This window comes from Homo sapiens, chromosome 3 (genome assembly GCF_000001405.40).
Source record: "Homo sapiens chromosome 3, GRCh38.p14 Primary Assembly".
Lineage (NCBI taxonomy): Eukaryota > Metazoa > Chordata > Mammalia > Primates > Hominidae > Homo > Homo sapiens.
The window spans coordinates 5,348,296-5,372,798 of NC_000003.12; the positions used below are offsets into that span (position 1 = coordinate 5,348,296).

General features: G+C 40.3%; 1 pseudogene, besides 3 other annotated features; it reads left to right on the top strand.

The window, feature by feature from the left end:
- LOC124906205 (UPF0764 protein C16orf89-like) overlaps window positions 1–24,503 on the top strand; it is a 79,830-nt pseudogene that overhangs the window by 41,754 nt on the left and 13,573 nt on the right.
- Window positions 500–1,699: an enhancer, noted in NCBI's record as "MED14-independent group 3 enhancer chr3:5390480-5391679 (GRCh37/hg19 assembly coordinates)". NCBI's record gives its function as "activates an origin of replication core promoter dependent on BRD2, BRD4, P300/CBP and CDK7 cofactors, and independent of MED14, by STARR-seq in HCT116 cells {active_cell/tissue: HCT116}" and the evidence as "EXISTENCE:reporter gene assay evidence [ECO:0000049][PMID:35650434]".
- Window positions 1,120–1,264: an enhancer, noted in NCBI's record as "145 bp enhancer 18 fragment used in the MPRA reporter construct; PK_construct_3751". NCBI's record gives its function as "activates an SV40 promoter by MPRA in HepG2 and K562 cells {active_cell/tissue: HepG2 | K562}" and the evidence as "EXISTENCE:reporter gene assay evidence [ECO:0000049][PMID:23512712]".
- Window positions 1,187–1,197: a transcriptional cis regulatory region, noted in NCBI's record as "NFE2L2 motif; enhancer activity is reduced when this motif is scrambled". NCBI's record gives its function as "necessary for full MPRA enhancer 18 activity {active_cell/tissue: HepG2 | K562}" and the evidence as "EXISTENCE:site-directed mutagenesis evidence [ECO:0005528][PMID:23512712]".

Here is a 24,503-nt window from a genome sequence, read left to right on the forward strand (position 1 = left end):
ATTTACTCACAAGTAGGGAAGAGAGCTAGAGCAATCTCCAGTTTACCTTTCCACCCACAGAGACTCAGTAAATAATTGCAGTGGCCTATGAAAGAGAAGCAGTGATGAGGTCATTTTAATGAGAATGAGCCACCCCCAACCATAACAAGGGTGACAGACGTAATCATCTCTCCGTGGGGAAAATGGGCAGGATTAGGCAGTTTATTACTGAAATGGAGACTTAGAGAGAACTCTCAAAAGCAGACATGAAGTGCTGCTGATTGTGTACATGCCGCTTCTAAGGAATAGCTACTTCCTAGGATGTCTTGGCTCCGTGGAAGACCACATTATGCCAAGAACTCTGGGCTTGAAGGAATTAGTTATGAGGCATTTCATGAGCAGCCAGGACACTGGGATGTTCCACCCACCAAGAATGACTCACACTGGGAAGTGAGGTGAATGGTACTAAATGGACCTTTAGATGGTAGGTGGGGCTCCATCAACATCCTAGTGACTATATTTGTGATAAAATTAGAGCTGTTGAGAAGATTTTTAAATAGACCTAATACCTCTTGCCTGGGGAGAAGGGGAGCATTACTAGTCACGAAAGAAACTTCATGGGTGGTTAACATGGGTTTGAGTTTGGCGGTGGCATAATTTGGACGTAGAAGGAATAGCTGATGTGCTATGTACTTTGCACACATGCTTTTGGCACTGACTGTATAGTACACCTGTGAACATCTGCACTCTCTGCTGGAGGGTGATGGTGGTTGTGTCTGCTCAACCTGTGTGTGTAGGGCAAGTTGGAAGAGCTGGATCATGCTCTGGAAGCAAACTTCTAATGACAGGTGGAGATTTGGTGAATAAGTGTCCCCATCTCCTCTGCTTCTTGATTGGGATAAGCCTGGGGCACAGTCTACACTGTCTCCCAGAGCTCTTCAGTGAACTTGACCTCCAGTCGTCCTCAGCACTAACTTGCTCAATGGTGTACCTTTGGTTGACTTCTTTCCCATCCCCATCTTATTTCTCCACTCTATTACTGGTGTTTCTCAGGTGAAAGAATTCATTTGAATCCTTGCCTCAGGTTTGCTTCTGGAGAAAGTCAACCTAATTTAAGGGGTGGGGTTGCTACAAAACAAGACAGGTTACTTATTACTAGGATACAATGTCACTGTTCCCACCCACCACTGTAGTATCTCAGAGGATGATTACTCAGCATGACACAGCATATTGCTGTTGGCCTCGTGGAGATAGTTCAGGTCAGAGATTCTTTAGCTCTTGGCAGGGTACAAGGTGAAATGCTAACAAATTTAGTCAGGCTAAGGCTAGAGTATGCTGCAATAACAAGCCACATATGGTTTAATGTTGGTTAAGTGGTTCTCCCTGAAGACTTTTCTGTAAGCGTGACTCAGGAATTTTGTCTGTTTTTATCTGTGGGGAGCTGAGACAACTGGCAGTGTTAGTGGGTGAGGTGCAGGCAGTGGCAATCAGGGTTCTCCACTGAGCAGGGAGCTAAGATCTGAGGGAGAGGCGAGGATGAGCAAATCTGGAGAGAAGCATAAAATAGGTCCAGTACAGGTGGCAAATGTATCTGTAGGCAAGATTTGTGTTAAACATATGTGCTAAAAATAAAAGAGAATGGAAATTACTTATCAGAATATATGCCCAATTTGATTGCTGGTATGTGAAACATTCATGCTGTTAGGTTGTCCCAACTCAATAACTGTCATACAGTCTATAGAATACTATACCAGCTAGTAAGTCAGATAACTAGTACCTAACCTAGTCCAGAAAAGATCAAACCAGTTGTTTATCAATTTGCATCTTGTATTCTGAAAAGACACTTCGTGGTGGGAATATAGTGACTTTTCAACTGGAAAGGTTGGTGACATATGGGCCCAGTTAAATTCTGGAGCTTTGAGCAAATTGGACAGAATTTTATAGGATTGTTGATCTAGGTTTTCTATTTATTTTTTTAAATTGAGAAACACAGGAGTGAAAGGAATGCAGAATGTAGCTTGAAGGACACAGCCATAGAGAAATTTATGAATTTTTCTTTTTTTTTTTTTTTCAAATTGTTAAATGCTTGGATAGGGAGTAAAGTAGGAACGTAGCATTTTGAGTCAGAAAACCAGGGTTTGAGCTTCAGCTCAAACATGTCAGTTGTGTCATTTTGAGTAGTTTTCTAACTCCTCAACTTCAGTTTTCTCCTAAGGTTGGGATGATAATCTGCATCTGAGGATTAAATAACTTAGGACAAAGTACTTGGTTTGGTATCTGACATGTGGCAAGGGCTGAATGATGGCGCCCGACCTATAAAATGGGATTTCAGTTATTTATTCACTGTGTCAACAAATATTTCTAGAATATCTGCTGAGTGCTAGGTCCTATGCTAGATGCTAGGACTGCAATGGTGAGTAAATACAAAGTATAATCCTTGGCTTGAAAGTTCCTGGTCTGGTCAAAGAGATAGATAAGATGTTGGCAAACTGTTTCTTAAAGGGTCACGTGGAAACTATTTTAGGTTTTATGGGCTATAGGGTCTCTGTTAAACCCATCCAACTCTGCCATTGTAGCAGGAACATAGCCTTAGACAATATGTAAATGAATAAATATGGCTATATTCCAATAAAACTTTATTTGCACAGAGGGTCAGATTTGCTCTGTGGCTATAGTTTGCTGCTCATTGAAATAGCTAGTAATAGCCATTAATAGTATTTATTGACAGCTCACTATGTACTTGTTCCTTTAACATTTATTTAGCAAACACTTATATAGCAGTTGCTATGAGCCATGCAATGTTCCAATCTCTTCACACATATTAACTCATTTAAAATGTCCTCAAGTAACTCCATGAGATTGGCACTATCCCCGTTTTACAAGGTAGACTTGGAACTAGGGTCATTCCCTTTTTTTTTTTTTTTTTTTTTTTTGAGACAGAGTCTCACCCTGTCACCCGGCTGGAGTGCAGTGGCATGATCTTGGCTCACTGCAACCTCTACCTCTCAAGTTCAAGCAATTCCCCTGCTTCAGTCTCCCGAATAGCTGGGACTACAGGTACATGCCGCCATGCTTGGCTAATTTTTTTGTGTTTTTTTGGTAGAGACAGGGTTTTACTGTATTGCCCAGGCTGGTCGCGAGCTCCTGAGCCCAGGCAATCCACCTGCCTCGGCCTCCCAAACTGCTAGGATTACAGGCGTGAGCCTCCATGCCCAGCCGGGTCATTCCCATTTTATAGATGAGGAAGTCAAGTCAGTAAGAGGTTAAATAAGCCAGAGATGGAGTTGGGCTTTGAACCCAAATGATCTCTAGTGCCAGAGTGTGGTCTTGCAACCATGATGTCCCACTGCTTCCCTCACACAAGCACTTAACTATGTACTCCGATTCATGACGGAGGTAACAGTTACCTCTACCTCTCAGGTTGTGACCTTCCAAAGAAATGAAAGTGCTTGGTAAACTGTAGCAGGTTAAGGAATTATTTGTTGTGTTTTTCTTTCTCTCTGGAGCAGTAGCCTCTGACACTTGAGGTGAGAAGTTTGGCTTTGGTTTCTGAACTGCAGAGTAGAAATGGGCTGGACATGGTTTGTCTGCAGGTCTCAGAAAGGAAAATGAGCCAGCTCTCTGAGGCCACATCTCATTTCTCCCTTTAAATGTCTATGAATGTCTATGAATTAAAATAAAACGTTAACTTAGGTTCTTATTATATGCAAAGTCTTGTGCTAAGTCTTTCACACGCATCCATGGTGTTTCATCTACAGAATAACCCCAGGAGGTAGTTATCATGTCCATGGGACAGAGGAACTAGAATCTCAGGGAATGTTAAACAACGTGTCCCATGGCTGAAAGTGATGGAGCCAGGATTTGAACCTGGCTTCTCTGCCACCTGCATTTTTGACCATGGGAGCCAGGAGCAGGGCGTGTGTCCACATTGTTCCTGATCCTGCACTTGATTTCCATTGGCTGATCAGCGTAGAGGGCAGGTGAGAAGAACTGGTTAAACTGACTGTAGCTGACAAAGAAGACAGTATTCATCTTATTCAGACACTGTCTGTGACACGGAAAGAATTTGATAAACAATAGCGTGCCCATCCTGATCATTAGGGCTTCTGAAAAATAATGGCTTGGCCCGGGGGTATTATTACCTAGAGCAGACAGCTTAGTGTCTGTTTCAAAACAGTGATAATTTTTATTCCCTACCATAAATGATCACTTAAGCAGCTTGAAATGACGACAGGTCACAATGGCCCCTGTGCTTGTGGGTTTTCTGCTAGAAAGCTGAAGTTGCTCTTAAAGAGAAATGCCCATCTGTGTCCCCAAAGTCCTTGTTAACTCTCCTCAAGTTTTAAGAAACAGTGGACTGCCAAAACTTGTCTTGGGCAGAGGCAGAAGCACAGGCAGTACAGGAGGTGTTTTTGCTGACTGGAAAGAGGGTAGGTGAGGTCTGAGATGGCTTTAGAAACCCCCTGGGAGGCATTTGGGGTTGAATTGTGTCCCCCCAAAAGATATATTGAAGTCTTAACTCTTGGTACTTGGTACCTATGAATGTGACCTTATTTGGAAATAGGATCTTTGCAAAGGTAATTAAGATGTTGAGTCAAGATGAGGTCCTACTGGAGTAAGATGGCCCCTTAATCCTATATAACTGGTATCCTTATATGAAGAGGAGAGAGAGACACAGACAGAAGGCAGCCACATGAAGGTGACAGAGGCAGAGGTTGAAGTAATGCAGCTGTAAACCAAAGATTGATGAGCACCACCCGGAGCTAGAATAGTTGGGGAAGGATTCTTCTCTACAGGTTTCAGAGGGAGAGGGGCCCTGCTTACTTTTTTTTTTTTTTTTTTTTTTCTGAGACAGAGTCTTGCTGTCACCCAGGCTAAAGTGCAATGGTGCAGTTTCGGCTCACTGCAACCTCTGCCTCCTGGGTTCAAGCAATTCTCCTGCCTCAGCCTCCCGAGTAGCTGGGATTATGGGCATCTGCCACAAGACCCAACTAATTTTGCATTTTTAGTAGACACGGGGTTTTCATGTTGGTCAGTCTGGGCTTGAACTCCTGACCTCAGGTGATCTGCCCACTTTGGCCTCCCAAAGTGCTGGGATTACAGGCATGAGCCACCATGCCTGACCCCCGCTCACTTCTTGATTTTAGGTTTCTGGACTTTGGAACTGAGAGACAATAAGTTTCTTTTCAGCCACCCAGTTTATGTTGTGACAACAGCCATAGTAAACTAATACAGAGCTAAGATTCATAGATGTAAGGTGGGTGTGTGTGCACAGGGGAGAGGGGATGAAGCATTGAATAGCTGTGTTCATTTATTTCTTTGTTTGCCACTCACACAGAAGGCAATATTTTATGGTAATTAAGAGGAAGTCTTAGGAACTAGACAGACCTACATTTGAATTTCAGCTCTGCCACTTCTCTGGGTGAATTTTGATTACGGCAATAACCGCTAGCATTTATTAATTACAATATTCTAGCCCCTGTGCCTTGAAGTGAATATGTGATATCTCCTATTTTATTGGTGAGGAAACTGAGGCACAGAAAAAGTCACTTGCTTACAGTTAAATAGCTATTAAGTGACTGTGGAATTAGAACCCAGGTACTTTGGCTCCAGAGATTCCTCTATTAACCACCACAAAACACTTCAGACTCAGTTTCCCCAGTTGTTAAATGGGTAGGGTTAAAATGGCTAACAGAATTTTTATGAGGATAGCAGTTAAAAGAAATCAGGCAATGTATACATATAATTAAATCCAGTTATTCTTTAAAACTCTTTATCATGAAATAATTATGGACTCACAAGAAATTGAAAAAAATAGTACAGTGAAAAACTGAAGACACTTTACCCAGCTTCTGCTAATCTAACATTTTTTTGACCCAGTTAAATTTCAGATTATTCTTTTTCCTTTGAAGTCCAATTTTTCATTTCAACCTCTTAGACCACATTATTTCCTACCTACCTAGAAAAAAAGGGTGAAGAATTTTTATCTTTTACTTGGTTGCTTATTTTTATTATTTTTTAAGAGACAGGGTCTTGCTCTGTTATCCAGGCAAGAGTGCAGTGGTGTGATCATACCTTACTGTAACCTTGAACTCCTAAGCTCAAGTGATCCTGTTGCCTCAGCCTTCTGAGTAGCTAGGACTATAGGTGCAAGCCACTGTGTCTGGTCTTACTTCTTAATTTTTAAAGAAGAACCAAATGAAGGATATAAAAAGGACAAGAACTTGTCCACAGAAATGTATAAAGACACAATCATTGGGCAGAAGAAAGAGATCACTCAGCGAGGCATGAGGCAGTCTATTAATAAGAATCTACTGAACCCCAATTCTTTGCCTAGAACGAGGATAAAGGCATCAGATGACGTTTTATCTTTGTTTTAGATTCAAGGGGGAAATGAAGCAAATGTATAGGTGAAGGAGTTGAAGGCCTCTCGTAATGACAGGTTAAAAAATAATCTAAACTAGGAGTAGTGGTGCGTGCGTATATTCCCAGCTACTTGGGAGGCTAAGGCAGGAGAATCGCTTGTGCCCAGGAGTTTGAGTCCAGCCTGGGCAAAAGTGAGACCCTGTCTCTAAAAAGACAAAAACAGTAGTCCAAAGGAATGGGAGGTTCAAACCAAGTCCAAAGGTATAAGGTATCAAAAGACAGGTCAGCCATGAATGAACAAGCTCCATGATGAATAGGCTAGGGAATTTGGAGCCTCATTTCAGTCTTGGAATATTTTCAGTGTCCATAATCCTGGGACAGGGGCATGTTTTGAAAGGTAAAGCTATTCTGGTGTGGAGATGGGCCCTGGAAGTATGAACAGTGTAACTCAATAAGGTTGTCAATAATCAATACACTTTTATGGTAATGAAGAATGCATTAACACAAATGAAATAAATCTGCAAGCGTGTAGTGACTGTCTACTTAGAACTTTGTAGGAAGTATCATGAGAGACAAGTTGGGAAAAAAGATGTGATTCTCCAAACCAGTTAGTGAAAACTAAAAATTTGAGATTACAAGAGCAATTACACACAGAATTGTGGTAGGAAACTAGCATCCAGAAAAACAACACAATTAGCATTACAGGTGGCTTCAGTCCTCCTAGGCATGGCTACTTTTGCTCATAAATTGTATTTCCAATATATTTAAAGTGTTCTCCTAAGCTTCCACTGCTCTTTTTATTATAAAAGATCCTGTTTGTGAGTTATTCTTCCGCCTGGCATCCATTTTACCTGGGCAAGGAGGCTGTGTGGTCCAGTCTAGTCTGACACATTGAGTCTGTTTCTACCTGGAGCTCTTTGCAGAGCAAGTGTGATGTGGATTGGCTGGGGCGGGGGGCGGGGGGAGGTGGGGGGGTGGGATTGCTCTTCAGCTTCCTCTCTACCCTCCTCTTCTGACCTTTTCACTGAATGACAGCTGTGCATGTGCAGAGGCTAGGGGCAAGGGTGAGAGCTCTCTGTAAGTTCTCACCCACCTCCAAGGTAAGGGTCCCTTCCAGTCTCAGGGCTTTGGGCTGCTTGTGATTTCTCCCCACCCCCAGTATAACATCTGGCATAACTACAGTACAATTTCAAAACTAAGAAAGTGGCATTTGTCCAATCTACAGAATGTATTAATCTTTTCCCAGTTTTTACATGGACTACTTTGTGGGAGTGCATGTGTGTGTAGTTGTATTCAATTTTATCAAATGTATAGATTCACATCACCCACATCACCACCATCACAATCAAGGTACAGCACTTTTCCCTCACCATGTGAGAATGGCCTTCAGCTACTCTTCGGTTGTTGGAGCCCAGTCTCCATCCCTAATCCCAGGCTATCTCAAATCACTTCTCCATCTTTGTAATTTTGTCATTTTGTGAATGTTATATAAATAGATCTGTACAAGAAGTAACCTTTTGAATCTGGCTTTTTTTTTTTTTCACTCAGCATAATAGCAAATGTTTTTTGAGCTCTTCTCTATGCCAGATGTCATGTCCAACTGTGAGTATGGCATGTTCTCACTTATAAGTGGGAGCTAAACAGTGGGTGCACATGGTCATACACAGTGGAAAAATGACAATGGAGACTCCAAAAGGTAGAAGGGTGGGAGGGGGATGAGGGTTGAAAAATTACCTATTGGTTACAATATTGATGCAGTATATGCATGTAAGAAACCTGTACTTGTGCACCCTAAGTATATAAAAAGAAAAAGCTTTAACAATAAAAGAAACTCTGGGTATAAAAGTGTCAAATTCTGCATTTTCGCTCCAGCTAGTCAACTTGCTAGGTTGGTCTGCTTCGTTATTGAGGGGGAAAATGTCCCCAAATTAAGTCAACAGACCATTTTTCTGGTGTCAGACTTTGCCTCTTTTTCATATTGACTTAAGTTTCCCAGTGCACTTTCTTCCTCAAGCCAAATGTTTTCAGCATCGTAATTAAGAAGTATATGAAGAGGCTGTGAGAGTATTTTAATGGAAACAGCTCCACAAACACCAAATTGCCCTTTATTGCAGTGGTAGCCTGGAAATGTTAATTGAGACCTGGTGTGGGTTCATTGCTTTTGTTTCCATCTATCTCCAAAAGCTCCACCCCCAGCTTCATGGGTGAGTTTTTGGAAAAAGGTTAACTGTTAACTCTGTGACTATCTATAGCCAGCAGATGGGTGGGGAAAAAAAAATCAAGGAATATAAGATGGTATGTTATCTGTTTGCCCATGTACTGAGAGAAAATCTCAGTCTATGAAAGTACAAGGTAGACAGTAGAAAATTTTGTTGTTTTGCAAAAAGGTTGAGATCCTGATAGACTGGTTTCTAGCCTCATAGTTGTTACTAAGAAGCTGTGTCCTAGCAGCCAGTCACTGAACTGCTTCAACCTTTTCTGTGGAAGGAAGGCTTTGGATTATTTGACCTTTAAGTTATTCTATAGATAGAAACAATACTTCTGTTTCTGTTTGGAGATCCTAGTTTATACAGTCATTTCATCTTAAGAATACCAAAACTGAGACTACTTGAAAGGCCAGTGGAACCCCTTATGGCCCCATTGCCTACTCTCTAGACTCATCTGCAGCTGTACCCCCTACTCTGTCTTCCTGTGCTCCCTAGGAGGAGTGTCCCTGCTGCTGTCAAAAGCCAACCTCTTCTTCGATGCTTTAGGGTCCAGCCTTTAGCCCTTGCAAGGTCTTTGCTCCTGCAGGTCTCTTCCTCTTTGGTATCACTTCTTTTCTGTCTGCTGGCTTGTTAACCCAGATATATGAATGAGCGCTAGGTATCTCTTATAAATAAACAGCTCTCTTCAGGTGCCAGATCCTCCTCCAGCTGATATCCTCCTCTTCTTCTTCCCTTCACAGCAAAAAATGTGTAAGTGTTGCCCACACTTGCTGTTTCTTGTTCCTTATCTCCAAATCTCTCCACAACTTGCTCCAATTAGGTTTTTGTTTTCATCAAGCCAATAAAACTGGTCTTGTTTTTAACAACCTTCACGTGGTCAAGTTTAAGAGGTCCTTTTCTGTCTTCATTGTAGTGACTACTCATCATCTTTGACCTTCCTCCTGCCTTCATCTCTGCAATGCCATTTTCTTTGGGTCATTCCTCCTTATTCTGTACTGGATTTCCTTCCTCGGAGTGATGAGACTCCTCTGGGTTTTGTCCTGAGCCCTTTTTACCTCTCTCTCAATACTCCGTCTAGGTTTCTTACCCAGACCCATGGCTTTAAGAACATCTGAATGCTGATGATTGACATGTGTGTGTCATTGACCCTGTCCCCTGCTCATGTATGAAGTATTCAACATGATTTCTCAACATTTTATTTTTCTCAAAATTCTCAACAATTTATTTTTCTTCCCAAACCTCCTTTTCTCTGTATGCTGACCTAGTTTCTCTAACCAGCATTCTAGGCGCTAGGCCAGAACTGAATGTTCCCTTTTCTCTCATGGGCCACACTGAATCCAAGTCCTTTGGGTTATCTCCTAAATGTATTGCAAATTTTTCCATCTAATCATCTCCACTTTCACCTCTCTAGTCAACATCATCACCATGTTTCACCTAACTATTGTCAAGCATCTGTAACTGATCTCTGTACTTTTATTCTTGGCCATACTTCATTTTCCACAGAACAGCCAAAGGGATTTAAAAAATGAAACCCAAATCAAATCAGATTATATCACTTACCTGCTTAAAACTTTCCATTATCTTTTGTGTTTTGGATAATATTCAGACTTTTCACCAGGACCCAAAGCAAGCTGCGTCATCTGGCTTTCTTCTACCTTTCCAACTGTCACTCTATCACTCTCCTGGCTCACTGGGCTCAAGCCAAGCTATGTCTTCCTTCTATTCCTCAAACAAGTCAAGCCCTTTTACACCTCTTGGCCTTTGTGCTTACATCCCTTTGCCTGGCATGCCCTTTCTTATAGTCTTTGTATGGCTACCAACTTAGTCACATTTTGACCTAAACATCAGCTCCTCAGAGACCTGCCCTAATCACCTTTCCTAAAATGCCTTTCCCAATCTCCACAACTGTTCATCATGTATCCTGTATATTTCCTTCCTAGAATGTATCACCCTCTGTAATGGTTTTGTTTTACCTGTTTATACTAGTTTAGTAGCTTTTTCTTCCTTATCTCTCTACCCTTTGTTCCAAGAACAGGAATACATTTAAAAATAACTTCTTTTTTAATGTTATTTTTGGCATAAAAAGAAAATAATAGTAATGTTAATAGTAGCAAACATTGAAGTTGTGCTTAGCCTGGAGCAGGTGCTCTGCTTTCTAGGCTCGGCAATGGCTACTCACTTTCCAAAGGTACTACAGCCAGAAGAGGCAGGTTTGGACAAACCATGCCCCTTATTATTATCATTATTAATGGTAATAATTATGCATTATTAGCATTAATTATTAGCAATGCAATAATAATTCACATTATTAATGCTGACCCTTTTTCATTATAGGTAGCATAGCAAAGAAAAGAACATAGTGTATAGTGATAAACCCCAGCTCTGCCTCTTACCTAATGTGGGAGCTTGGACATTTCTGAGCTTCAGTTTCTTAGTGATAAAAGGGGACAATAACAACTATCACCCAAGGTCTTAGGAGGATCTAATCAGATCCATAGCTCCCTCACAGTGCTAAATGAATGAATGTATTAAGTATCCAGCACAGACTCTGGCACTCTGTAATTAGTATTATGTGTTATTATCTTTGGACTTTGGCTTTTGTCTAGGTTGAAGGCAAGGGTCATATCTTTTCTGTAAATGAGATCCACTGAAAATGCACAGTGAATCCTAGGGCTGGCTAACACCCAGGTGTACATCATTTAGCCGCTTCCTTCCTTCCCTTCCAAGACCTTTGGCCAACCTCTCTTCCAGAAACCCAGTTCTCCTGTGTGTCCCCTGCCCTGAGGTTCTAGACCCAGAGGTCTGCTCTTTCGTGCTCCCTTCCCAAGCATGACTTTTTTTGTGGCTCCTGTGGCTGGCTGTCAAACTGGGAAGCAGTCTGATAAATGAATCCTATCTAGGGGTAAAATGATGGATAATGTTTGAAAGTGCTACTACATTGGCATTTTAACAGAGGACTTACGGAGAGGCAAGGCTTGAAACCTAAAGGTCGTCTCTCTCCTGCTGGAAATCCTAGCCCAGTGGCAGGTTGGAGGGGAGAAGCAGTAAGGAATATTTGGGGGCCAAGAAGGTTTCCTAGAGCCTGTAAATCATCCCTCCAACAGGCAGTTGCTATCTCAGCTTTTTGTATAAGACGGGCCCTGCATGCTCACAAAGGGCACTCAGGAAGTAATTTACTGATGATTAGGATACTTCCACTGAATAATGGAAAGCATCATCCAGGTGCACATCTGTTCTTCATTTGGTCCAGGGGAGCTGAAGTCAGAGGGGTCTGCTACAATTACAGGTAAAAACCTGATGCAGCTATTTACTAGAAGCCAGCCAACCCTGAATGCTCAATTACCTAGGACTAGATAGTGTTTCCCAGCAAGAGGAGAAGAGCAAAAAAAGTTTCTATCAACTTCTATTAGAAATTGACTAAAAAAAGAAACATGCAGGGTATATCTTAAGGTCATACCTGAACATGGATATATGTGTGTGTGTGTATAAAACTTTTATTTTTGGAATACCTTTAGATTTATAGAAAAATTGCAAAGATGCTACAGGGTTCCTGTATATCCTTCACCAAGCTTCCCTTAATGTTATACTCTAGATATTTGGAGTTGTAACTTTTTGTCTCAGGAAAATCTTTCATTTATCATCTAGTTTTTGGGAACTCACTGTGTGCCAGGCACTGTGCTAGACACTAGGGATAGAATGATGAATAAGACAGACTTTGCCCCTTGCTTCATGAGTTTCATAGTCTAGCTTAGTGCTTTCTTTTCTTTTCTTTACTTTTCTTTTCTCTTTTCTTTTCTTTTCTTTTCCTTTCCTTTCCTTTCCTTTCCTTTCCTTTCCTTTCCTTTCCTTTTCTTTTTCTTTCTTCTTTCCTTCCTTCTAGCTGGAGGTTCACTCTTGTCGCCACCTCCGCCTCTTGGGTTTAAAGCAATTCTCTTGCCTCAGCCTCTGGAGTAGCTGGGATTACAGGCACCTGCCACCACGCCTGCCTAATTTTTGTATTTTTAGTAGAAGCGGGGTTTTGCCATGTAGGCCAGGCTGGTCTCAAGCTCCTGACCTCAGGTGATCCACCTGCCTCGGCCTCCCAGAGTGCTGGGATTACAGGTGTGAGCCACTGTGCCCAGAAGCTTAGTGGTTTTCAAGGTGTGTGGTGTCTGTAACACTAGCACCACTTGGGAACTTGTTAGGACTACAAATTCTCAGGACCCACTTCAGACCTGAATCAGAAACTCCAGGGGTGAGGCCCAGTGATGTGTAGTTTCACAAGCAATCCAGGCGATTATAAAATATGGTTAAGTTTGAGAACTAATGCTCTAGTGGGGAGAAACAAATATGAAGTGGTTAGTTACAAATAATGATGTGATTTTATCACAGGAGACAGAACTATAGTCCCACACAGTTGAACAGTTCACCTAGTCTGAAGATAGACAAGGCCTGGCCGAGGAAGGGGTTCTTAAGCTGCCATCTGTAGGCTGATGAGAAGTTGTCCAAGTGGATTGGAGAAAATGTGTCCTGGGCTGGATAATTGGAACCAGGGTGAGAGAGACTTGACATTGAGATCTTGCCTCTTCAACCCCTGTAAAAATTGTGAGTTAGAAAAGATTAGTTTTTGGTCTGAACTCAGTTTAACTCGAAAATCCAATTAACTAGCTCTTTGTATTCTCCAAATATTTCAGTTCATCCGGATTTTAAAAACCAAGTGTATATTGCATTTAGAGGATGCTGTGATAAAAAAGGAGGAGCTTTGAAATTGGGGATGAGAGACCCATTCTTGTCCAGACTCTGCTCCCATTGGCACAATTAGCCTGTGGGGGCAATTCAACTTCACTGCCTCATTGTCCTTACCTGTAAAATGAGAGGGTTGGAACTTCCAGCCATTTTCTTTTTGATTTCATGATCCAGAATTAGCTATAAATGTCATTATACTGCTGTTTACTTTTAGAAAGTACTTTTCTATTCATTTAGTTCAGTAGCTAATTCTGCACATTGCCTACTGGCTGGCAACTTTAAGAGAGATTTTCTATTCTTTTCTCTAAAATTACTGCCATAAGTTTATCCCACAAGGATATATTATTGCTCTAATGATCTGGTAATTATCAGGTAATGAAACGAGCAATGGTAAGTATATTATTAAGAGCAGTTGCTGCATGGAATATTTTTGTCATGCAATTAAAAGTGTTACTTATATTTCAGTAATGCATATGAAGTTACATGCTGAGGAGAATGGAAATAGAGAATATCCTTCCTTCTTTTGCTGAACTAAGTCTTAAAATCCGTATATTAAAAAGTTGAAAGAGTCTGATTCCATGGGCTGGAGTTTAAAGCCAAGCTTTATCTTGGAGTAGGCAATGTGCCCTGCTATCATTAATTAGAGCTCTTCCCTCCAGGAGAGTTGGGAATGTTGTTCCCAAGCTGGATTAGGCCGTCACGTTTCTAAGCTGACCATCCTGACTTAACTGGTTCCTCTTCATGCTCTACTGGGTTCATTAGGAGAGTAATAATCCTGATGGGTAGAGAGCTCTCCACTGAGTGAGGCACAGAAAAGGCCCTCAATAAGAATAAATTACATTTTAATCAAACTATAGTCACGCTACTACTTCTGCATCTGCGGCTGATTTGTGGACATCAGAATGAGCCATATAGTGCTCAGGCATCTGCATTTTGAAGAACTTTGCATAAGTGTAGAGATTCACAAGTATTAATTTTGGCCTCTTGGATTTTAACCTTTGATTTTAGTAACCCCCATACTGGTCTTTATTTTCTTTCAATATGACATGTCTCAGAAATGTTTCACAAGACGAATGAGAAGTTACCAGGCAGTAGCTAGAAACAGTTGGATTCTTTCCAGGCTCAGTTGTCCCTTGTCTGCACTGACAATTGTGTTATGTGGTTTATTTCCTATGTATGCATGCGTAATTTTCCATTCTTGACTTTAAGCTCCTTGAGGACAGGATCCATATCTGATTCGCCTTGGTGTGATATTAGCTAGCACTTCAGGGTACTAACTTTGAGGGAGGCATTTTGCATTTCACTTGTTATTCCCCATACCTCTATAAACAGGGCTGCAAAACATCCTAGCAATAAATTGAGGCCTTGTCTGTGAGGTAAGAATTACTAGTCCCATTTTATAGATGAGAAAACTGAGGTGCAGAGAGATTCAATAATTACCTTAGGGACACTGAGCTAGTTAGTGCTAGAACCAGCATTCAAATCCTTTTCTCTCCAACTCAAGTCTGTGCTCCTAAATTTTGTCTTACAGTGGCATGGGCCCTCTAACTCTTGGGAACTCAATAAATAATTGTAGAAATCCAGGAATAATTCTCCATCTAGACGGCATAGCAAGCTGGTGTATTCTGGGGAAGGTGAAAATGCATTGGGGGCTAAGTGGTGTGAACTTGGAAAGTATTAATATGTAGACAGAATCTGAGAGAGAGTTTTTTTTTTTTTAGGTAGAATAAAGGAAATGCATCTCTAATTACCTGAGTAAACCATGGGATCTACTGTATTGCTTGTCTACCTTAGTGATGCTCAAAGCCAACCATCTCTGGTAGAAGCAATATTGTTCTTGAGCTTGTTTGCTTTCCATATTGCGTGGTTGATTATATCACTTCAGGTCTGCTATCACACTTCTTAATTGTTGTTAGCTTGTTCTGTTGAAACTGCTTCTTTGCCCAAGGTAGTCTTCATAGGTTAGGGGTTCAGTTCTAGATAGAAAAATTACTAAGAGGGGGAGTCATGGGACTACATCATTCCATTCCACTCCATGCCATTTCGTTCCATTGAAATTCTTTCCATGTTGCTCTATTCTATTTCATTCTACAGACATCTCTTGAGTACTATGTGCTGCCAAGCATGGTATTAGATACTGAAGACACAGTGAGGATCAGGTTAGGTATAGCCTCTGCCTTACCTAGGTTGGTGTCTACTGGAGAGGCAGATAAGAAAACAGCCAGTTGCGATGCAGATAGGTAAGCCTGATGAATGGAATACTACAGGGAGGATAAGAGCTCAGAATGTCATGGGGTTGGGGCTTAACTCATGAGTCAGAGAAGGTACTTAGAGTGACTGAGATCTGAGAGGGGAAGAATCAGCCAGACAAAGGGCATTTTAGTGATCCAGTAACAGAAGCAAGTTGAAGACATACTCTAACTCTCTATATTTTTCACTCTCAAAAGATTCAGCTTGCTTGCATGGAGATCTCCAGTCTGCTGAACTGGAAGCAGGTTATAATGCTAGACCTGTGTTTCTTCTTAGAAACCTGAGCAGTGTAGAATGACAGCACTTGTTAACAAGGTGAGGTGGTCTGACGCTCAGAGGGCCCAATAAGGTTCAGGATGGGTGCTACGGTTTGAATAATGCTGTCCCCTCCAAAATTCATGTTGAAACTTAATCCCCAATGTAACAATCTGTAGAGGTGTGTCCTTTGGGAGGTGATTAAGTTATTAGGGCTTCACCCTCATAAATGTGACTAGCACCTTTATAACTGGGCTCAAGATCAAAGGGAACCTGTTCCTGCCCTTCCGTCTCTTCCACCATGTGAGGACACAGAATTCATCCCTTCCTGAGCATACAGCAACAAGGCGCCATCTTGGAAACAGAGAATGGGCCCTCGCCAGGCACCAAACGTTGGCATCTGGATCTTTGACTTCTCAGCCTCCAGAAGTGTGAGATGTAAACTTCTATTCTTTATAAATTAATGAGTCTATAGTATTTTTTATAACTGCACAAATGGACTAAGTGGGGGAAGAGGGAAGAATAGAGAATTAGAATATTTCTAGATTCATTTGTCTTTCTGAAGGAAACCCCAAACTTAATTTCTGGAAAATGCTTTTTTTTTCTTTTTTTTCTCCTGGTCAGATTTGTTTTGCCTGAGTTAAAGAGAGGGCTTTTCACCTCCCCCATTTGACCATGTTTCTATGGATTCAGCTTGAATATGGTTGGCCTCATGTACATTTAACAACATATTCCTCATTCTCAAGGAACATTCTGTAGAGACTCGTTCAAATAGATAACCAGCTGTTTTAGATCCTAAATTCTGAGGACACTGTTTTGCATTTTCTCTACTTTAAAATTCTTTACATTTTCTTCTTATTACATTTGTGACAATCACAGGTGCTAGCATCATCAACACCTGTTCACCCCTCTTTTGATAAAGTGATGGTACTCCAAATGTGGAGCAGTCTTTGGTATTGAGCCGTATTGGAGAGGATATTGAGGTCAGGATGGCTTCTTAAGGGCCTCAAACCAACTTGTGATCATGAAGATTGTGAAATTGGGATATAAGAGGGTTTACATGTTTTAATTTTGTATAGGAAATGTCACAGTAATTGCTATAAAAATAACTAGGAAGATTTTCTCTCAAATGATGTATGTAAATGTATATTCTCCTTGACTTCACTGCTATTTTCTTGTCACTTAAACAATAAAATTATTTCTAGTTTTTGTATCTCAAAATATCTGAACTCTGTTTAAAATATCAGTGAATTTTTAATCAAAGTTTTAAAGCTTATTTGACTAAGAAAGCTGACATCATTTCTACCACTGCCACTGAATACTATATGTAATATTGTCATCTTAATCATCTGTACATATCTATTATAATCTTTTTTACTTCTGATATTCTAAAACACAGCTTTAAGATGAATCAGTGTAAAATTATTAAGGCTTTGTGTAGTAAAGAATTTGCCTTGCTCAAAAAGAGCTCTGGACTTTGTCCTCAGCTTCTCGAAGGCAACCTATGTCATATCTGATAGGAGTGTCTTTGTTTTGGACAATGGCTGGACACACCAGAAAGATTAACCATGTGATCTAGGGTAGGGGTTTAGGGCCACACTATCAACCTGGAAAGTGATATCAGCCATGTGGGCCATCAGTCAATCAAGCCTATGTAAGGGAAGCCTTTTATGGGTTGAATCATGCGCCCCCCAAAAGATATGTTGAAGTCTTAAACTCCAGTATCATGGAATGTGACCTTTGGAAATAGGGTCATTGTGGATGTAATTCATTAAGATGAAGCCATCCACCATCCAATATGACTGGTGTCCTTATGAAAAGAGGAGAGAGACACGTGGAAGGAGAATGTCATGTGGCGATGGAGGCAGAGATGGGAATGGATGTAGCTGCGATGAGGAATGCAGACAAACACCAGAAACTAGAAGAGGCAAAGAGGGATTGTCCCTACAGGTTTCAGAGGGAGTGAGGCCCTGCTGACACGTTGATTTCAGTTGTCCATCCTCTAGAGCAGTGGGACAAAAACATTGAGTTGTTTTAAGCCACCCAATTTATGGTATTTTTTTTTATGGCAGCCTTAGGAAATGAATACAAGCCCCAATAAAAACTTTGAACATAGAAACTCAGATGAGCATCCCTGGCTGACAATTTCATGCGTATTGTCACACATTGATGCCGAGAGGGTAATGTCCTGAGCACAGTGGAAGCTTCATGTTTGGTGCCCTCTCAGATTCTGCCCTCTTCCTTTGGCTGATTTTAATTTGTATCCTTTCCCTATAATAAACCATAACCATGTATATAATTGTTTTCAGGGAGTTTTGTGAGTCCTGGAGAATTATTGAACCAGAGGGTGGTTTTCGAGAAACCCCTGAACTTGCGGTTGGTGTCAGAAGTGAGAGTAGTCTTAGGAGTCTTTTGTGGACTCTCCCCTCTACCTTCCTAGCTGGGCTCTAACCCCTTGCTGTAGGTATCAGGAGTCTAGGGCTGGCCTGGCAGTCTAGAGGACTGTGTCCTCAAATCACAACTTTAGACCAACTCCACAAAGGCTCTGTAAAACAATCGGATAGATCCACATAACTATGACTGTCTTTGGCTTTTCTTTTACAATTCTTGGTTATAGAGTACAGAGTTCCCATGCGCTGTGTAACTCACCCATGTCTGCCTGGGTGAATTTAGCTATCATCAGGGCCCATGGCCAAACTGCAGCATAATTACATTTGTCATCTTTTTTTCTTTATTCTGTGTCCTCCTTCTAAATGACACCCTATTACTCTAACCCAAAGCCTTCCTACTGATCTGTGATTATTTAAGACCCTGCCCTGACTCCCATATACATGCACATGCTTACAAATTCACCCCCATTTCCTCTTTCTGATGGAAGGCCTTTGCTACTTCCTCTCTCACTAACTCAAAACTGATTTTCTAAGTAGCTTATAAAAGATTGGTATTGGATGATTTATTAATATAATTGCCATTAATGTAAATAACTAGCCTTAATCTTTTCAAGAGATGCTTCTGTTCATGGGTCCTCTCCTCATAAAAACAAAGCAAGACTCTTGCTGTCATTCCTTCTTTGCATCTAAGAATGACAAGTAAGTTACTTTTAATAAGAATATAATAGCCCCAAGTTTCTGCAGACTTGGAGTTTGTTGACAGAGGAACCAAGGGCAAACACGGTTGTCTTCCCTATTTTTAAATATAGGTAACATTGCTTGATTATCCAATCTTACCTTTAATGACTTGCCTATGTCCATTTACACATTAGTAAATGGACATATTACTAAGCATATCAATAAGTAAATGGACATGTTACTAAACATACATATTCCTAAATACCTTACTTTTAATAACTTGCCTATGCCCATTACTAGTGTGTAAATGGACATAGCCAAGAGTATTAGGGTTCTCTAGAGGGACAGAACTAATAGATATATATAAAAAGGTGAGTTAATTAAGTACTAACACACATGATCACAAGGTCCCATGATAGGCTGTCTACAGGCTGAGGAGCAAGGAGAGCCAGTCCGAGTTCTAAAACTGAAGAACTTGGAGTCTGGTGTTTGAGAGCAGGAAGCATCCAGCACGGAAGAAAGGTGCAGGCTGGGAGGCTAGGCCAGTCTCTCTTTACATTTTTCTGCCTGCTCATATTCTAGCCACACTGGCAGCTGGTTAAGGTTGCATCCACCCAGATTAAAGGTGGGTCTGCCTTTCCCAGCCCACTGACTCAAATGTTAATCTCCTTTGACAACACCCTCACAGACACACCCAGGATCAGTACTTTGTATCCTTCAATCCAATCAAGTTGACATTCTGTATTAACTATCACAGCAAGTTACTAAAGGTAAGATACTTAGGATGTTATTTAACCTCTCAGTACCTCAGTTTCTTTAATTCCTGTGTAAACAGCACTTACAGGGTCATTGTAAGGATTAAAGGACTTAGTGTGTAAAGAGCTCAGAAAGCAGTGATCAACTTATAAGTGTTAACTATTATTTGTCTTCTTAGAATTTTTTTAAAGCTTTGGGTCCTCTACTTATGCTTTTCTACCTTGCTTCCTGGCAGTTAAGACTTTAATAAAGTATGACAATTTTCTCAAAAAGATAACATATTCTAATACAGATTCAGGATGTACATTAATTCATAAAAAAAGTCAGGAAGAGGCAGAGGTTTATTTGACACTGTAAGACTGTAGAATATGAAGCAGTCTACCACACAATAAAATCGGGACACTAAGGCATTATAATTAGGTATTTTTAAAAGTAGAAATGAAAAGTTTACTTTGAATATTACAATAAATTATATCACTTTATGGTTGGGTAGCATTTTAAAGTTTTTTTCATACATCATTTGAATGAGTTTCCTCTATCAAAGAAGTGAGCATGGCAGGTACATCAAGACTTATTTTAAAGTAGGATTTGGCGTCTCATTAAAGTGTAATGTGTAATGACTTGTCCAGAAGTATTGTCTCTATTTGGGAAGGAATTTAAATTGTTGAGCTGTTAAAGGGGAACCACCTTGATCTACATAATTTGTTGATGTCTAAATTTAATGTTTAGTTTCAGTGATTTAGTTCAAACGATTGTAATAACTTTGGTGTTAATTGACGTTAGCTGGAACAGAAAAGAACACATTGGATTCTCTGAGTCTTTCGGCTATCTAATATTTTTGAACATTATACTCAAAAATAGTGAAATAAGACTCTTTAGATACTTTAAAAAATAGACTGACTTTTTTAGGAAGCTAAGGAGGAAAAAATACTTTTGAAAGCTTTCTCTCCTTTTTAAACTTATGAAATACTCCATATGTTTAGTAAAAAGATTCAGGTTGAATGTGCAGCACTCAACTCTGGATGAAAGAAGTGGGATTTTTAACATAACTGTCAATTCTGAAAGGCAAATAATCTCATTATTAAAGACCTTGGCAGTTCAAATTGTTACCGAAGTTTTATGAATGCAAAGGATGTATAATTTCAATTAGGATGAAAGCACCTCATTCCTTTGATTCAACAACAACAAAAAATACTTGGATGCTTCTACTTTTAAAGCAAGTTGTTGGATAGTTGCAACTGATCAAGCATAGCATTTTTCTATGCAATCTTTCAGTTTTATTTTTTGTATGTATTCATTAGGGCAAGGTAGGCCCCAAAGGCTAGGATTATGAGCAGTGGTTTTTTTGTTGTTGTTGTCTTGTCATCTTTTTTTTTTTTTCAATGAAACCTATTCTTACACAGCATAGCTGTTTCACATTAGAAAGAAGCACTGATTCAGGCCAACACAATGGCCCTGAATTCAGGCCAAAATTAGTCTTGACCCATCTACCATCCTTTTTGGGTAACCTCCTCCAGATCAGGGCTCTGTCTGTCTGCCTAAAGAACTAACAGTGCTTGTTCCTTCTATTCTAGTTTCTTTTCTCAGGAAGCACTTGGAATATTTATTCACACTAAGCTATTAGTGGCTTAAGGTTATTTTTCCCTGTGAATAAATATATATTTTAAAAGAGGTCAGCCCTGGCTGAGTGTGATGGCTCATGCCAGTAATCCCAGCACTTTGGGAGGCTGAGGTGGGTGGATCACCTGTCAGGAGTTTGAGACCAGCCTGGCCAACATGGTGAAACCCCATCTCTACCAAAATACAAAAATTAGCTGGGCATGGTGGCAGATGACTGTAATCCCAGCTACTTGGGAGGCTGAGGCAGGAGAATTGCTTGAACTCGGGAGGCGGAGGTTGCAGTGAACCGAGATGACGCCATAGCACTCAAACCTGGGTGACATAGCAAGACTCCATCTCAAAAAAAAAAAAAAGAGGTCAGCCCCAAAGAATATTACCTTCAAGTGGTGAAATATGAGGTGTTTTAAATGGGAAAATTTTTGGTATCCTTCAGAGTCCTGTATCCATTCTGCCGCATAGTAGTAGATAGTGTCTGCCTCTAAATAAAACCGATCGTGTTGGTAAAAAGAAAATTATTATGAAACTGACATTGTGGAACATGAGCTACTCTGCATGAAAGCTGTACATAAATGAACAAATAATTCTTGAAGATTGACTATGTACCACCACCATTTTTCTACCCATCTTAACCTTATTTATTTATTTGTGTCCCGATTCATGATTTTTATACATTTAAAAAATCATACATCAGGACACACTTAAAAATTATTTTCTGATTTGTGTGTGTTTAATATAAACAGTCTTCCGAAAGTATTGCAGTTACATCACTTTTAGGTATGCCTTTGATGTAATGTTATTGTTGCAAAGGGAAAAAAAAAATCACACAAAATGCTGGACTGAGGGCTGCTGTGGGCAGTGTAGAATTGGTGAAGAGCTCTGGTCTTGGAGTCAAACAGATGTTGGGAAAGTGACTTTTTCCTTTAAACTACATTGTTGAGGTATGGTTGACATATGAAAAGCTGTGTATCCTATGTGCGTAACTCCATGAGTCTGGGGATAACTAAATGCCCATGAAACCATTATCACCATCAAGGCTGTGAACACATCTATCATCTCCCAGAGTTTCCTTCTACTCACTTTATTATTATGATTTAAGTTATAGTAACATAATTATAATATGTTTTTGTGGAAAGACCACTGAACATAAGGTCCACCCTTTTAGCAGATTTTAAGTATACAAGGCAGTATTGTCAGCTACAGGCACTGCTGTGTAGTAGATCTCCAGAACGTACTCATCCTGCACACCTAAAATTTGGTCCCTTTGAGCATCCTGTCCTTGTTTCCCCCTCCCTCCATCCCCTGGCAACCACCATTCTATTCTGTACTTTTCTTTTCTTTTTTTTTTTTTAGGCAGAATCTTGCTTTGTTGCCCAGGCTGGAATGCGGTGGTGCGATTTCAGCTTACTGCTACCTCCGCCTCCTGGGTTTAAGCAATTCTCATGCCTCAGCCTCCAAAGTGTAGCTGGGATTACCGGTACACGTGACCACGCTTGGTTAATTTTTGTATTTTTAGTAGAGATGGGGTTTTTTCATGTTGGCCAGGCTGGTCTGGAACTCTTGGCCTCAAGGGATCCACCCACCTTGGCCTCCCAAAGTGCTAGGATTATAGGCGTGAGCCACTGTGTCCAGCATACTCGGTACTTCTGTGAGTTTATTTTAGATTTCACATATAAGTAAGATTATATAATATGTTTTTCTGTGTCTTGCTTATTTCACTTAGTATAATGTCCTCCATGTTCACCCATGATATGCAAACAGCAGGATTTCCTTCTTTTGTGTATATACACCACGTTATTCATTATGTATATACACCACCTTTTCTTTATTCATTCATCTATTAATGAACATTTAGGTTATTTTTTATAGCTTTGCTATTGTGAATAATCCTGAAATGAACACGGAGATGCAGATATCTCTTTGAGGTAGTGATTTTTCTTTCCTGTAATTTTGATTCTGTTTTCAGTTTTTTTTTTTAATTTAAGTTCTAGGGTACATGTGCATAAAGTGCAGGTTTGTTACATAGGTATACATGTGCCATGTTGGTTTGCTGCACCCATCAACTCATCATTTACATTAGGTATTTCTCCTAATGCTATCCCTCCACCAGCCTCCTAACCCTTGACAGGCCCCAGTGTATGATATTACCCTCCCTGTGTCCATGTGTTCTTGTTGTTCACCTCCCACCTGTGAGTGGGAACGTGCGGTGTTTGGTTTTCTGTCCTTGTGATAGTTTGCTGAGAATGATGGTTTCCAGCTTCATCCATGTCCCTGCAAAGGACATGAACTCATCCTTTTTCATGGCTGCATAATATTCCATGGTGTATATGTGCCACATTTTCTTTATCCAGTCTATCATTGATGGACATTTGGGTTGGTTCCAACTCTTGGCTATTATGAATAGTGCTGCAATAAACATACATGTGCATGTGTCTTTATAGCAGCATGATTTATAATCCTTTGGGTATATACCCAGTAATGGGTTGGCTGGGTCAAATGGTATTTCTAATTCTAGATCCTTGAGGAATCGCCACACTGACTTCCACAATGGTTGAACTAGTTTACAGTCCCATCAACAGTGTAAAAGTGTTCCTATTTCTCCACATCCTCTCCAGCATCTGTTGTTTCCTGACTTTTTAATGATCGCCATTCTAACTGGTGTAAGATGGTATCTTATTGTGGTTTTGATTTGCATTTCTCTGATGACCAGTGATGATGAGCATTTTTTCATGTGTCTGTTGGCTGCAGAAATGTTTTCTTTTGAGAAGTGTCTGTTCATATTCTTTGCCCACTTTTTGATGGGGTTGTTTTTTTCTTGTGAATTTGTTTAAGTTCCTTGTAGATGCTGGATATTAACCCTTTGTCAGATGGGTAGATTGCAAAAATTTTCTCCTATTCTGTAGGTTGCCTGTTTACTCTGATGATAGTTTCTTTTGCTGTGCAGAAGCTCTTTAGTTTAATTAGATCCCATTTGTCAATTTAGGCTTTTGTTGCCATTGCTTTTGGTGTTTTAGTCATGAAGTCTTTGCTCTTGCCTATGTCCTGAATGCTATTGCCTAGCTTTTCTTCCAGAGTTTGTATGGTGTTAGGTCTGACATTTAAGTCTTTAATCCATCTTGAGTTAATTTTTGTATAAGGTGTAGGGAAGGGATCCAGTTTCAGTTTTCTACATATGGCTAGCCAGTTTTCTCAGCACCATTTATTAAATAGGGAATCCTTTCCCCATTGCTTGTTTTTGTCAGGTTTGTCAAAGATCAGATGGTTGTAGATGTGTGGTGCT